We start from the raw sequence: 15,744 nt of genomic DNA, 5'->3' as shown, positions 1-15,744 counted from the left end.
TTTTTTTTTTTTTTGAGACACAGTCTTGGTCTGTCACGAAGGCTGGGGTGCAGTGGGGCGATCTCTGCTCACTACAACCTCTGCCTCCCAGGTTCAAATGATTCTCTTGCCTCAGCCTCCCAAGCAGTTGGGATTACAGGCATGCGCCACCACACCCAGCTAATTTTTTTGTATCTTTAGTAGAGACGGGGTTTGGCCATGTTGGCCAGGCTGGTCTTGAACCTCTGACCTCAGGTGAACCATGCACCTTGGCCCCCCCCAAGGTACTGGGATTACAGGCGTGAGCCGCCACCATGCCAGGTCTAAAATAAACATCCTAAAAATTAGCCAGGCATGATGGCAAGCACCTATAGTCCTAGCTACTTGTTTCCTAGGCACACTATATTCAAATACCACCAACGTGGTGGCTTGTATTCTCTAACATTGCTCTTCACCATGAAGAGCAATTAGCACAAATTGAGTTCACCATTGCACCGATGTTTCATAAACTGTCATAAAATCAGAGCTCTACAAAGACACTAATATGAAATATTTAGAAATAGTCCTTGCAGATGTAGTTAGTGATGTTAACTACATCACTAGGTAGGCTGGGGCTGGAGGATTTCTTGACCCCAGTAGTTCTAAGCTGCAGCAAGCTATGATCATGCCACTGCCCTCCAGCCTGGGTAACAGAGCAAGACCCTAGCTAAAAAAAAAAAAAAAAAAAAAAAAAAAAAAATGGTATGAGAAAGTAGTTATTTAAACCTCAGGTGTGTAAAAGATACTGGTGTCCCTGCTGGCTGGGAAGACCCCGCAGAGAGTTGGTCACACTTGCCTGCCTTGGACACTGTTCTGGGTTGAAGAGTGTGTCTCAAAGATTCATGTCCACCGGAACTCTCAGAATGTGACCTTATTTAGAAATAGTCTTTGCAGATACAGTCAGCCATGTTCAAATGAGGTTATTCTGGATTAGGGTGAGCTCTAAATCCAATGACAGTGTCCTTATGAGAAGGCTGTGTGCCAACACAGGGACATGCAGGGAAGAGACCACTTGATGAAACAGGCAGAGATTGGAGGGATACAGTAATAAGCCAAGAGAGCCTAGGACAGCCAGAAACAGGAGAAGCTGAAAGGGGCATGGAAGGGTCCTTCCCGTGAGACTTCAGAGGGATCGTGGTCTTCCTGACACCTTGATTTTTGGACTTCTCACCTCCAGAAATGTAAGAGAACACATTTCTGCTAGTTTAAGCCACCACGACATTGGTGGTACTTGGATATAGTGCACTTAGTAAACAAACACAGGCGCCCAGAACGAAGCTCAGAGCAGACGCTGCAACATGAAACGTTGCCTGCAGTGGTTGCCACTGTACTCAGAACAGGGAAGCCAGAGCAAACCAGGGCTGTCTGGCTCTGCATTCCGTTGTTGGCAGGCGCAGAACTATGTGTGACCAACTGCCTTGGATGAGGCAAATCAGCCTGGGCAGTGAATCCCCCGGAGTGCCTTGGGGACATTCTCTACCCCAGCCTTGTGTTTCCGGCTCCCCATTTAAGAACCCAAATGGGGCCAGGCACCGTGTCTCATTCCTGTAATCCCAGGACTTTGCAAGGCCAAGGCGGGCAGATCACCTGAGGTCAGGTGTTGGTGATCAGCCTGGCCAACATGGCAAAACCATGTATCTACGAAAAATACAAAAATCAGCCAGGCATGGTGGCAGGCACTTGTAATCTCAAATGCTTGGGAGGCTGAGGCAGGAGAATCGCTTGAGCCCCAGAGGCGCAGGGTGCAGTGAGCCGAGATTGTGCCATTGCACTCCAACCTGGGCAACAGAGGGAGACTCTGTCTCGGGAAAACAAAACAAAACCAAACCTGAAAGGTTCCTATTTCACCAGGTAGCTTCTGTTGCTAAAATAAAGTCTAAGAACAGAATTATCTCTTCTGTGGAAAGAAAATCTTTTTGGTTACCTCATTAAAGAATTCTCCTTTCTTTGTAGGAGTTGGGTGACATTCTATAATCATTGTTGATTTTCTGATCCAGAGCTATAAACAAAGACAAAAAGATTCAATATGAAAAGGTTTGTTTTTGTGTTTTATTTTTCCTGAGCTGGCTAAATTATGGGTTTTTTGTTGTTGTTGCCTAGGTAAGGCTTACTCAACACAGTTTTATGAACAGAATGAGAAGCTCTCATCTAATTGCCCCCATGAAAAACTGTCACAATGGGTTTGTAATAAGAGTGATTCATGAATTAATTCATCAAAAGACTATTTGTTGAACATATGTGAAATATATGCTTATATATTCACAGATTATCCCAAGAATGAGATCTAAGCAATGTAACAGAGGTTGCATCTGGGGATAGAAAATGAAGACTTATTTTTACTGTATACCCTTTTTAAAAAAGCATCAGTGTGACAATCATCATTGTGATAATCATCAATGTGTATATATATGAAATATTTAGAATTAAGTTTTTAATATGGCAATGTTTCTCTGAAATATATATATAATACACACACACACACACACACACACACACACACACACACACACACAGTTTTCGAAACAGAGTCTTGCTCTGTTGCCCAGGTTGGAGTGCAATGGCATGATCTTGGCTCACTGCAACCTCCACTTCCTGGGTTCAAGCGATTCTCCTGCCTCAGCCTCCCCAGTAGCTGGGATTACAGGGGCGTGCCACCATGCCCAGCTCATTTTTGATATTTTTAATAGAGACAGGGTTTCACCATGTTGGCCAACCTGGCCTCGAACTCCTGACCTCGTGATCAACCCACCTCTGCCTCCCAAAGTGCTGGGATTACAGGCGTGAGTGACCACACCCAGCCCTCTAAAATATTTTTAAAATAAATACTTATTGGGTGCTTATTACATGTCTATACTGCACTGATTATGAAACATCCATACACTTTTTTTTTTTTAACTTTTAGGTTCAGGGGTAAATGTGCAGGTTTTTTATATAGGTAAACTCTTGTCACAGGGGTTTGTGGTACAGATTATTTCATCACCCAGGTACTAAGCCTAGTACCCATTAGTTACTTTTTCTGATCCTCTCCCTCCTCCCACTTCAGGCAGGCCCCAGTGTCTGTGTCCATGTGTTCTCATCATTTAGCTCCCACTTGTGAGTGAGAACATGCTGTCTTTGGTTTTCTGTTCCTGCATTAGTTTGCTAAGAATAATGGCCTCCAGCTCCATCCATGTTTGTGCAAAGGACATGTTCTTGTTCTTTTTCATGGCTGCATAGAATTCGATGGTGTATATGTACCAGGTTTCATTTATCCAGTCTTCCACTGATGAACATTTAGGTTGATTGCATGTCTTGAGCATATAGTTTTAAATGAAGCAGACACAATCTCTGCCCTTATGGAACTTAATAGCCTAGCGTAATGGAAGAAACTATAAACTAATATTCACAAAATAATTGTGTCAATCAGAATTGGATAATTATCTGAAAGAGAAGAATTTGGTACTGTAAGAATGCATAATAAAAGGGACCAAGTAAGATCAGAGCATCATGGAAAACTGTTGAGGGAATTATGAGTCATCTGAAAGAAAGCAGAAGTTAACTAGACAAGAAGAAGGAAATTAGCGGCATGATGAAGCTCTTCAGCAGAACAGGAGCGTGGTCTGTTTCTCTAACTGGAAGAAGGTCAGTGTGGCTGGAGCAGAGTGAAGAGGTAGGAAAGAACAGGGACAAGACCTTGCAGGATCTTTATTCATTCAACAAGCATTCACTGGGCACCTACTCCATGCCTCATGCTGTTCCCAGCACCAGGGACACAACAGTGAACAGACACAGGGCTATTCCAGCCATCTCATGGAGGTTGGATTTGCTTACAAACCCAAAGGGAACCCACTGAAGGATTTGAAGCAGAGAATCCATATGATCCCATGTAGTTATTTAAAAGACCACTTGGGAGAGGTGGAGAATAGATGTATCAGACTGTCTTGGCACAGTAGCCCCTGGGTGATGAGCTGTGTCAGGCCATTTTCTGCATGGAGACCAAGGTGAACAAGACCAGCATTTATTTTACTGGCCTTAAATAGCAAAATGGCAGCCATTCTATTCCACAGCAATGGTATATCCATACCCATTTCCATTCTTGTAGAAAACCAAGAACTGGGAAGATGGCATTTAATCTGGTTATTGGTTTTGACTGCTAACTTTTTAAAAGGGTAATAAACTTCTTTTCAGCATGAAGACCAATTAGCACAAATTGAGTTCACCACTGCACCAGCATTTAACAAACTGTCATAAAATCAGAGCTCTACAATGACACTAATCTGAGTCCAGGCACCAACTCGTCACACTGAATCAGATAATGACATTCCTGTTATAAGACAACTTTCATTTTGCCATTTTACCCTTCAAGGGCACTAATACAGCCCTCCTAGCTTCTCATTGATTTCTTTTTCTATATGATTTCTGACTGCAAGAGAACAGAGATCACCAACTTTATAGAGATCATATGTACACATTATAAAAGAGTTCTTACCACATTTACATTTTTCACATTTTCCCAAGAATGCTTCCTTGCATATAGTTAGCAACTTATGCCATTATATATGGAGACAAGAGTAGATAGATATAAGTTTCCTACTCAGCCAATTTCGTTTAATCAAAGTTTTGGGAAAAAAAAAATACTGTCATCATCTTATCCACATCCCCCTCCTCCTCTTATACAAAGATCATAGTCTGAAAACTGGATGTCAGAGAACCTTGAAGGATGTGCTCAGGCAAGGCTTCCAGAGAACATCTTGTTCAGTCCCTTTATTTGGCTGATGAGAAAATAGAAGCACAGAGACAAGTTGAGTGATCCCAGAAATTCAAGAGTCTCACAGCAGATTAGTGGCAAAATAAAAGACAAGAATCTGGACATCCAGACATCATTAAAGAATCATCTCAGTAAAATACTAAAGAAGAATAGAAACAAACCAACGAAATGTATGCTAATGTGGTCTATCCTCAGAATTTCTTTTTTTTATTGTTTTCTTTTTGAGACAGGGTCTCATTCTGTCACCCACGCTGGAGTGCAGTGGCATGATCATGGCTCCCAACATCCTTGACATTCCAGCCTCAAGCGATTCTACCGCCTCAGCCTCCCAAGTAGCTGGGACCCTATGCACGCATGAATCAATCAATCTATCTATGTAATATATATGTATATATGTAATACATATATACACACACATATATATACACACATACATATATATATGTGTGTGTATATATATACCTCACTCTCCTGAAAAGTGGGAATGACAGTATCTGTAGCTTTTGTCTCTTTTATGAGGAGTTGAATGATTTAGGAGATTTGCTATTTGGAGACTGCATGGAGTTACCAACAGCAAAGTGTCAGTAGCCTAAGAACGTGGCATAATGGTTATTGTGCCACAGTGCAAAACACTCAGCCCCACTGTTGGATTTGAAGGCAAACCACCAGGGTCAAGTCAAGCTGATTCAAAGCCCACATGGTAAAAGCCCTGATACCTGGAACATGATATAACAAGATGTTTATTTGGATAACGTCAGAGACTGATTGAGGTTGGGGTGAAAATACAACCCAAAAGACCAAAAACAACCCCCTTTCATTAATTATCTCAGAAAGGCACAATAAGAGCTCATGCAAAGATGAGCGTATTTTGTTCAAAACCAATGAGAAAGATCAAGTAAACCGAAGGGCTAGTGAAACAGAGCTGGTAGTTTCCTATACCTTTTGAAGACTGCCTGAAGCAGAGAACTATATTTGAGTTAAAAATCCATCTCAATTCCCTTAGCAGACACATATATTTCCAGCAGGTCTCTTGTAGACCATTCTGTTCATTTGGAACTAGATTTCTCTCCCAAGCTAACAGAGCCAGAAGATAAAGGAAGAGAACTAACTATGGTTTGACCTGGTCTCTGATATGTTCTGGCTCCTTACACATTGTTTCAGTTAAATTCAAATAACCCCAGCATAATATGGCACTGCTAAGTTGTATGTTTACATATCCCCACCCATTGATCTTTTTCATTCACCCAGGGTGGGACAAACATTAAACCTGTATGAAATGAACAGCAGCATCCTGTTACATCTTTTCCTCCCCTACTCCCTCTCTCACCCCTATAAACCCTCGATCTCCTCTAAAACAAGGATACAAACCCCAAGCAGCTCTCCCTAAGAGGGAGCTTGAATCCATAAAAAATAAGGAATCCCCAGAATAACTAATTATCTAGAAAGATGTTCGAGGGATAGCCCTTGAGTAGCCTTGTTCATGGGCATCAAAAGCCTAGAACTGCCAGAATAACATGGAGGAGGCAGGTGAGGGTAGCAGAAAAATTGTCGTGGAAAATCTGCATGACAATAAAAAATTAACAACCAGAATGATGGGAGTCACATTTTCATTCAGTATTGTTTGAAGTAAAGGCAAATCATCCTAAATTGCCTTCATCATGCCTCTATTTTGGACACGTAAATTTGGTTAAAGTTTTTTGTTTGTTTTCCAGTCAGATCAACTGAAATCCTCCTCTTAAGGGTGTTCATTTCTCCTCCCTCTGGAAATACACAGCCAAGGAGCGGACTTCTGCCCACTTTTCAACAGAAAAGTTTAACGTGGCAGAAGTTTTGAGAATGATGTTGTCTACCATAATTTTATGCTTAGATCTGTGTGTGGCGCAAGAGTTGTTAAGCATCGGTACAGGCTCTAGCTAAATTCCACTGCTTCAAAGGTGCCTAGGGAGTGAGCTCTGAAGCTTGCAGAGTCACAAAAGGGTTCTGCACTGGGTGGAGGGGGTTGACATTACGGAAGAGTCTGTTATAGATGTGAACCTCTTGCTGTATTTCAAAGGCTGTGTTTCTTGAAACATTTTAATGTCCTCCCTCAGTTGGAATCATCTGTGTCCAAAATAACAAATGGTCCCCCTATTTCCCCCCGCCCCCCAGCTCTGTATCTCAGGAGGCTTGCTTTTTTGAAGTAGATGGAAATTGGTGTGGAAATCATGAGGTTTAGAGAAGAATCAAATCAGCCATTCAAAGCTTCCATCAACCCCTGGGCCCCCTCTAAATTGCTATTTCCATGTCACAGAATTTTTTCATTTTAAAACATTCTGAGATATTTTCATGGTGTTGTGGCTAACCATTTTTAGTCAGTTAAAAAAATGCCTTTATCACCTCCCACCAGGAAACTCATGGAACACACTGTTGGAGATGTTAAAACTTTTTTTTTTCATTTTCTCCTTTAAAAATATTAATGGTAAGCATTAAAAAAGAAACGAAAAGTCTTTAATTTGGTTTTCAGACAGCTTAGTTTGAAATTAAAAATTGTTCATATCACCGTGAATCAAGCATCTGTGAGTAATCACCGTGAACCAACCTGATCATTTTTATCAAACAGCAGGGTAGATGCCAAGTTCTCCATTCCACTGAGTGGGTGTAAAGTGCCAGTGTGCACTGGTGGAAATGGCTCTGGGTTGGAGGGCTCTGAGTTACAAAATTAAAAAGCTTCAGTTCACAAACAGTAAGAGGTCTGGTGGATGAGAAAGACAAAAGAAGAGGAAGGTAGCCAGGAGCTAGTATAAATGAAGAAGCCAAGACCAGACAGCTTCTCAGCTTGGCATAATGAAGAAGGCTGCTATCCACCTGATGAGCAGGAGTCTTTGTTAGGTCTCCTCTCAGTTTCCATCTCTTTCCAGCAATGAAACTCAGGGCTCCCTCCCATCCAGCTTCCCTCCAGGCCAGGGGCAGAGTGACTGTGGTCCTAAATGACCATCCAGATGATCTTTGTGTTTCCCAAAAGCAGCTGAGAGTGCTCACTCAACTTTTCATAGCTTACAAACCCTTCCTGCATCCAGAAGAGCTTGAAAGTTGGTAAAAGGTATTATGTTTTGCTTTGGTTGGTGGACTACATAAACCATGGCCAACTTCCAGCCACAGTCTCTCATGGAAGAAAAGGATGGCAACAAGACAAAAATGCACTCACAAGCTCCTGGCCATTGGTATTTTCCCCCATTGTGGGAAGAAATGCAAATGAATACAATATGATTTTCCCCCTTTTTCTTAAAAAGAGCAAGAAAATAAGTGAAATGAAGTTGGAAGGGAAAAGAGTGACAGAAACAAAACCAAGGAAGATAACATAATTATTTTTAGAAATAGCTCAGTATATGCACAATTTCCACAACAGCTTTCACCTCCAAGTGGATCAGAAATCCACCCGTAGTCAGAGAAAGGGAATGTGCTACATAGAAGGGAGACCCAGTACACTGAACACTTGGCCAAGTTCTTATTTCCTCACTTATTTTCTCTCTCTGGAAAGATTATTTTAAAATCTTTTTAAAGTCTTTAGTAAACAGACACGTGAACTAAAGCACATAAATGAGTAGTGCTCTTAGGGTGAATTATACCTCCCCAAAAATTCGTATGTTGAAGTCCTCAGCAATGGAACCTTATAGTGTGACCTTATTTGGAAACAGAGTCACTGCAGATATATTTAGTTAAGATAAAGTCATACTGGAATAGGGTGAGCAACTGATCCAATATGACTGATGATCTTATTTCTTTTAATGTTATTAAAAAGAGAGACATACAAAGAGAGAAGATAATGGGAAGAGACACAGGGAGAAGATGAATCTAAAGCCAAAGAGAGAGGTTAAGATGGATCCCTCCTTCTCAGCCCTCAGAAGGAACCAACCCTGCTATCATCTTGATATCAGACTTATAGCCTCCAGAACTATGAGACAATAAATTTATGTTGCTTAAGCCACTCAGTTTTTGAGACTTTTGTATTAATCTGTTCTCACTCTGCTAATAATGACATACCCGAGATTGAGTAATTTACAAAGGAAAGAGGTTTAATTGACTCAGTTCTGCAGGGCTGGAGAGGCCTCAGGAAACTTACAATCATGGCAAAAACAAAAGCAAACACATCCTTCTTCACATGGTGGCAGCAAGAAGTGCTGAGCAAACGGGGAATAGGCTCTTGTAAAACCATCTGATCTCATGGGAACAGCATGAGTAACAGCCTTCATGATTAAATTATGTCCACCTGGCCCCTCCCACAACATGTAGGGATTATGGGAACTACAATTCAAGATGAGATTTGGGTGGGGACACAGCCAAACCATAACACTTTGTTATGAAAGCTCTAGCAATCCAATATAAGAAATTTCTTTAGAGCAAGATAGTATCACATAATATCAAAAGTAAATGAAAGCTAAAATCCATTGAGCAATTTCTAGGTGCCAAGGCCTATGTATTGTATATGCATCACTTCTGTTAATCCTCACAGTTTCAATCTTCAGTTGCATCAGGATTTGATGGCTGGAGCTGTGGCAGCCATTTTTATCCACAAGTGTGAAGACTGAAGCCAACATACTGAACCCATCAGGGTTGAAAGACAGAAAAATCTGAGTCTCTCATGATGACATTGGGCCACTGAATCAACCAACTCTAGAACCCTCTATATCTTGAGACTTTTTAAATGCAAGATATTATTTAAGCCACATTTTGTTGGAACTTCTGTTACTTGCAGTCAAAAGCATACCAACTGATACACTTCCCTCCTAGTAAATGTTTTTTTACTAACTTTCTCCAAAGGTAAGGGTTATGTTATGCTAATTTTTACATTTCTAGATCCAACCAAAGGGACCATCATATGGAGGTAAAATTCAATCAGCATTTGTTGAATAAGCAAACAGGTAAATTTCTCCTCAAACAGATGTCAGTGGTGTTTGACAGATGGAGAGATGAAAACTCCATGAATTTAACTGATTTGCTGAAGACCATGCAGTAGTTCAGTGATTCAATGATAAGGCAGGAGTCCCGTGACCACCTCACTTTCACACTGCACTGCCTCTTTTACCATTTTGTATAATTATGGAATGTTCCCTATAATTCTCTAATATTCTCTCTTCCTTCTCCTCTGCAATACTTTCAACCTGTACACGATGTCCATACTTCCTACTTGTCCATTGTTTAGAATTTTGTTTTTTCTGCCTGTGAATACTTTACTCATTTGTATAAGTAAAAGTCTCAAAGCCAGGGACCATATCTGTGCTGTTATCTCTGTGCAACACCCGATATAGCTCAACTTTAATTTGTCAATAAATAAATCTTCCTGGATGATGATGGTATCTGAAAACATAAAATGAACTCTGCAGAGAAATAATCTTCTGTTCTCAGCCCATATCCTATATCCTCTTCAGGAGGGAATGGCTAAATGAGAAATTAATAGGATTGGAAACATGTAGTACCTGTGGACTGAACCACATAGATTTTTTTTTAAAGTTTGTGAGTTTATGACCTTTGTACTTTGTGCAAGTTGTAGTTGTGGAGAAAGTAGTCACACTGTTCTGAAGTCGTATCTCCACATTTGGGACTGGTAAATGTGGAATGATTATCTTAAAACTCTGGTCTTCATCTCCAATTGCCTAGTGGCTTTTTTTTTTTTTTTTTTTTTTTTTTTTGGAGACAAGAGTCTCGCTGTGTCACCCAGGCTGGAGTGCAGTGGTGCAATCTCGCCTCACTAAACCCACCGCCTCCTGGGTTCAAACGATTCTCCTGCCTCAGCCTCCTGAGCAGCTGGGATTACAGGTGCCTAGTGGTCATTTCTATTGGAATGTTTCATTGCTACCTCTATTTCAACATGGTTATGAAAAAACCCACGATCACCTGTGAACAAAAATTGGCTTTTTTTTCCCCCAAATCTTGTCACTTTTATTCCCATCCTTGAGGCCACCAAGATCAAAAACTTTATCTTCTAATTATTCCTATCTTTCACCCTCCATATCTAGCCAGGTTCTGTCCATGTTCCCTATAAAATTCATCTAATCTATTACCACTCCCTTCTGTTCCCCTTATCGTCACCTAATTCAGTCCCCTAGCTGCCAAGGACACTGTTATATCTTCCCAATTTGTTTCCCTGAATCCAATCTGTCCCCCATGAAATCAATCCTTACAGTGCAGGGAAGCCAACTCCCTTACACACACTCATCAGGACAGTGACCTATTTCTTTTTATATCTAAATACATTTGTATTTCCAGTCCTGTCCTAATTCTCCTATGTAACCGTATTTTCTGCTATTCACTCATGTGGATTAGTCCTTGTTAATGGATTGGTTTTAGTATATTCCCAAGAAAATCAGGGTTGAAAGACACACAAATTCTGGGTCTCTCATGATGACACTGAGTCACTGAATTAACCAACTCTAGAACCATCTTGAGATGTTTTTCTAATATGAGATAGTATTATCATTTAAGCCACATTCTTTTGGAACTTCTGTTACTTGCAGTCAAGAGCTTAACAACTGTTACGGGACAACTGATACAGCCCTTGGGAACTGATATTTCCAAGACATTCGGGACACAAGAACATGCCTACGTATGTTCAGAAAACCAAAACACTCTGTTTGTTTGGTAGAACCAAGTATTTTAAGTTGTAAATATGTTGTTTTGCCCAACAAAAGTAAAGGATCATCCTACTCTCTCAGTCTATTTGGGATGTTGATAGAGCCAAGTTCCAGAAAGGAGAATGTTTCTCCCCAGGGACTCATACAGTTTATGATGACTAAAATCAATCCACATTCATGAGGGAAAACTTTTAAATATAAAACATACAGCACAAAATTAAAAATAAATCTTGGTCTCACTGTCCAGGGATAATCACTGTTAATAATTTGATTTATTCATTCAGTTTTTAAAAATGAGTATACAGGGAGGGTAGGAGGAGTAGGAAGGATAAAAAATCTACATATTGGGTACAACGTATATGACTTGAGTGACGGGTACACTAAAATCTCAGACTTCACCACTCTACAATTCATCATGGAACCAAAAACCACTTATACCCTTACAGCTTTTGAAATAAAAAACATAGAATGAAAATTAAACAATGACTACATATACCTGAATATACTGTAAAAAGTAAAGAGCACTATACATTCAAATACTTTACATTTATTTATTTATTTATTTAGAGATGGAGTCTCACTCTGTTGCCCAGGCTGAAGTGCTGTGGCACAATCTCAGCTCACTGCAACCTCTACCTCCCGGGTTCAAGTGATTCTCCTGCCTCAGCCTCCTGAAGAGCTGGAATTACAGGCACATGCCACCAAGCCCAGCTAATTTTCTTATTTTTAGTAGAGATAGGGTTTCACCATGTTGGCCAGGCTGGTCTCGAACCCTGGCAGCAAGTGATCTGCCTGCCTCGGCCTCCCAAAGTGCTAGGATTACAGGCGTAAGCCACCTCACCTGGCCTACTTTGCTTTTATTTATTACTATTACTTTTTTGAGACAGAGTCTCATTCTGTCACCCAGGCTGGAGTGCAGCAGCATGATCACAGCTCACTGTAGCCTCTGCCTCCCGGGCTCAAGCCATCCTCCCACTTCAGCCTCCTGAGCAGCTGGGACCACAGGTGTGTGCCATCACACCTAATTTTTTTTTTTGGTACTTTTATTAGAGATGGGGTTTTGCCATGTTGCCCATGCTGGCCTTGAACTCGTGAGCTCAAAGTGATCCACCTGCCTCAGCTTTCCACAGCGCTGGTAATATAGGCATGAACCCCTGTGCCTGGCCTACTTTGCTTTTATTTAAAACACACACACACACATTTTTATTGCAGACATCTGAGAGTACTTAAGATAACAAATAAAATATTATCCTCCCTCCTTTTATTTATCTCATCAATATTTTCATACAGATAACCCCTGTTAATAATTAAACTGTATCTTTCCTGGTTTTTCTATGCATATGCAAATATATCTTTTTATTTTTACAAAAATAGCATACATATTGTTATGCATCATATACATTTCTACATAATATATTTTGGATAGCTTCCTACATGGTATAACTCTATCTCTTTCTTTTAAATTTACATTGTAATACCATTGAATAAATGTAGCAAAAGATTCTTAACCAATCTCCAATTATGGCTTGTTGGATTCTTTGTTTTTGCTCTGACAATCGCTTTTGCCGAGAATGTTTCTGTACACATGTATTTCAATACTTGAGCAAGTTTTACTGTAAGACAGATTTGAGAAGTGGAAATACTGAATCAAAAATGTACAATCTAAATTTTGTAATTAATAGGAATTAATGTGGAATGATTATCTTAAAACTCTGGTCTTCATCTCCAATTGCCTAGTGGTTTTTTTGTTTTTTTGTTTTTTTTTTTGGAGACAGAGTCTCGCTGTGTCACCCAGGCTGGAGTGCAGTGGTGCGATCTCGCTTCACTAAAACCACCGCCTCCTGGGTTCAAGCGATTCTCCTGCCTCAGCCTCCTGAGCAGCTGGGATTACAGGTGCCTAGTGGTCTGTAATCTACTGTGTAAATGTGTAAATCTACACATTTAATAGATACAGATACTATCTATCTGCCCTCCAAATATTTTCTGATTAGCTCTTAAAAATGAATTTATTTGGATCAAACTTGTTGAAAATTAGTAGAGTTTTAGTAAAGGATTCACATGTGTAACTACTATTCTTATTTTAATTTGCTTGCAGTATAAGGTCAAAATTATATACCAAGTTGACTTTTTAAAAAAATGGTGAGTACATAGGTGTATATATTTATGGGGTACATGAGATCTTTTGATCCAGGCATGCAATGTTTAATAATCACACCATGGAAGATGGGGTTCCCATCCCCACAAACATTTATCCTTTGTGTTATAAATAATCCAATTACACTCTTAGTTATTTTTAAATGCACAATTAAATTATTTTGACTATAGTCTCCCTGCTGTGCTATCAAATACTAGGTATTATTAATTACTTCAGGGTTTATTTGTAGCTGTTAACCATCCCCACTTCTCCCTACCCCATGCTACCCTTCCCAGCCTCTGGTAACTATCTTTCTACTCTCTACCAGATTGACTTTTAGTTTTGGGTTGAGTCTATCCTTATTCTCTGTGCAAAATCTCTCTTCCATTGAACAGAGTTGGACTGTCTTTGATGTCTGCATAAGTAGGCACCAAGGTTTGCAATAAGAAAAGTAGTATACCTTGGTGACTGTGAAGTCAGACAGATTACATTTGACTCCTACCTCTTTTAATCATTAGCTGTGTGTCCTTGGGGAAATGACGTGACCTCTCTTAGTTTCAGTTTTCTTTTCTGCAAAAATGGAAATGACAACAATAATTGCTACCTTGTAGGGAGGTTTGGAGAATTAAAACTCGTTCTACAGTGCCTAGCATGCAATAGACGCTTGTTGGGTGGTTTCCTTCTAAGGGTGCAACGGGTATGGCTCAAGCAAGAATGAAACCTATTACTGAAGATGATCCAAAATGAGATGCCAGAAGGTAGATGTCAGACCAAAAAATCCCACTGTCCACATCAGTCAGGCAATTGGCATTGGTAACTCTAGAAGACTTTTAAATCATCCTTATCATTTAGTTTCCCTAATAATGACAAATAAAAACAAAGTGGAAAGTGAGATGCCTAGATTCCCCTGCAACTAGATTTACCTTAAGAGCAAAGGAGGCCAGGCATGGTGGATCACGCCTGTAATCCCAGCACTTTGGGAGGCCGAGCTGGGTGGATCACAAGGTCAGGAGTTCAAGACCAGCCTGGCCAACATGGTGAAACCCCGTCTCTACTCAAAATATAAAAATTAGCCGGGCATGGTGGCAGGTGCCTGTAATCCCAGCTACTCAGGAGGCTGAGTCAGAGAATTGCTGGGAGGCAGAGGTTTCAGTGAGCTGAGATTGCACCACTGCTCCACAACCTGGGCCGTAGAGTGAGACTCCATCTCAAAAACAAAACAAAACAAAAAACAAGAAATAAACAACCAAAGGAGACCTTTCCACAGGTGTTAGTTGACAGAATTATAAGCCTTGCACATCTAGGATGAACCAGACAAGGAATATTTTGCAAAGATTAAGGCAGCAAGGAAATGTTGTCATTCTTGCGTAAGCAAAGTCTACGTTATTCTGCTATAATCAGAGCATTTTGCATTTGTGCAACAATTCTTGCTCTTATGGGTACATCAGAGCTCAAGTGTGCCATGAAAAGGTAATGGCAATAAATTCCACAAAAGAATGAGTGACAGTAATTGGAAGGAATTTGAGCAGAAGGGATATGAAAAAGTAGCTTTTGATTATTCTCTTCTTTTTTATAATATAAATGATCATTGGTAACACATTTAATTTGACAGTAGTCCAAGGCCTTCAAAAATATTCCTACGAACCAGTTATAAACTGTGATAATCAATTTCTTGGCAATTACACTGATTAAGGAAATTATTCATCTACTACATTCTTCATCTCAGATATTTTTCAAATGTCACTTGAGCCTCTTAAGCTTAAAAAAACCTTGCTATTAGCCAGTACACACAATAAATGTAAAACCGATGGCACCAATATTATGAATAGTACCTCTTAGGACAAAATCTGATTTGTTTGAAGGCAGATGACATTATAAAGGATAGTCAAGATGTCACTAGAGGGACTTTGTATGCAGCTTGATTTACTTAGCATCTTTGTCACTTTATAGATTGAGATATGATTGATAGTAACATTAATATAGAAAGTATGTTAATATTAGAACAGACTTTAAGATCCCCTACTAGAAAATTCTCCACCTCCTCAAATTGATATAATTTGGAATAAAATGCCCTAAGGATGCAATGATTCTTAGTCTTGCTACCCCTTGATGTAAGCTTTTATTTTTTTTAGAAAATTAAATCAGTTTTATTGAGGTACACTTTATATACAATAAAATAATACACCCAATTTAAGTATACATTTCCGTAAGTTTTGACAAATGTGCACACCTGTGTA

The 15,744-nt window shown here is 39.9% G+C and overlaps 1 annotated feature.

The window, feature by feature from the left end:
- Positions 13,937 to 14,166: an enhancer, noted in NCBI's record as "active region_3099". NCBI's record gives its function as "activates an Ori minimal core promoter by ATAC-STARR-seq in GM12878 lymphoblastoid cells {active_cell/tissue: GM12878}" and the evidence as "EXISTENCE:reporter gene assay evidence [ECO:0000049][PMID:35858748]".

This window comes from Homo sapiens, chromosome 10 (genome assembly GCF_000001405.40).
Source record: "Homo sapiens chromosome 10, GRCh38.p14 Primary Assembly".
Taxonomy (NCBI): domain Eukaryota; kingdom Metazoa; phylum Chordata; class Mammalia; order Primates; family Hominidae; genus Homo; species Homo sapiens.
The sequence above is the reverse complement of the archived record's forward strand: the minus strand, read 5'-3'. Positions and strand labels throughout refer to the sequence as shown.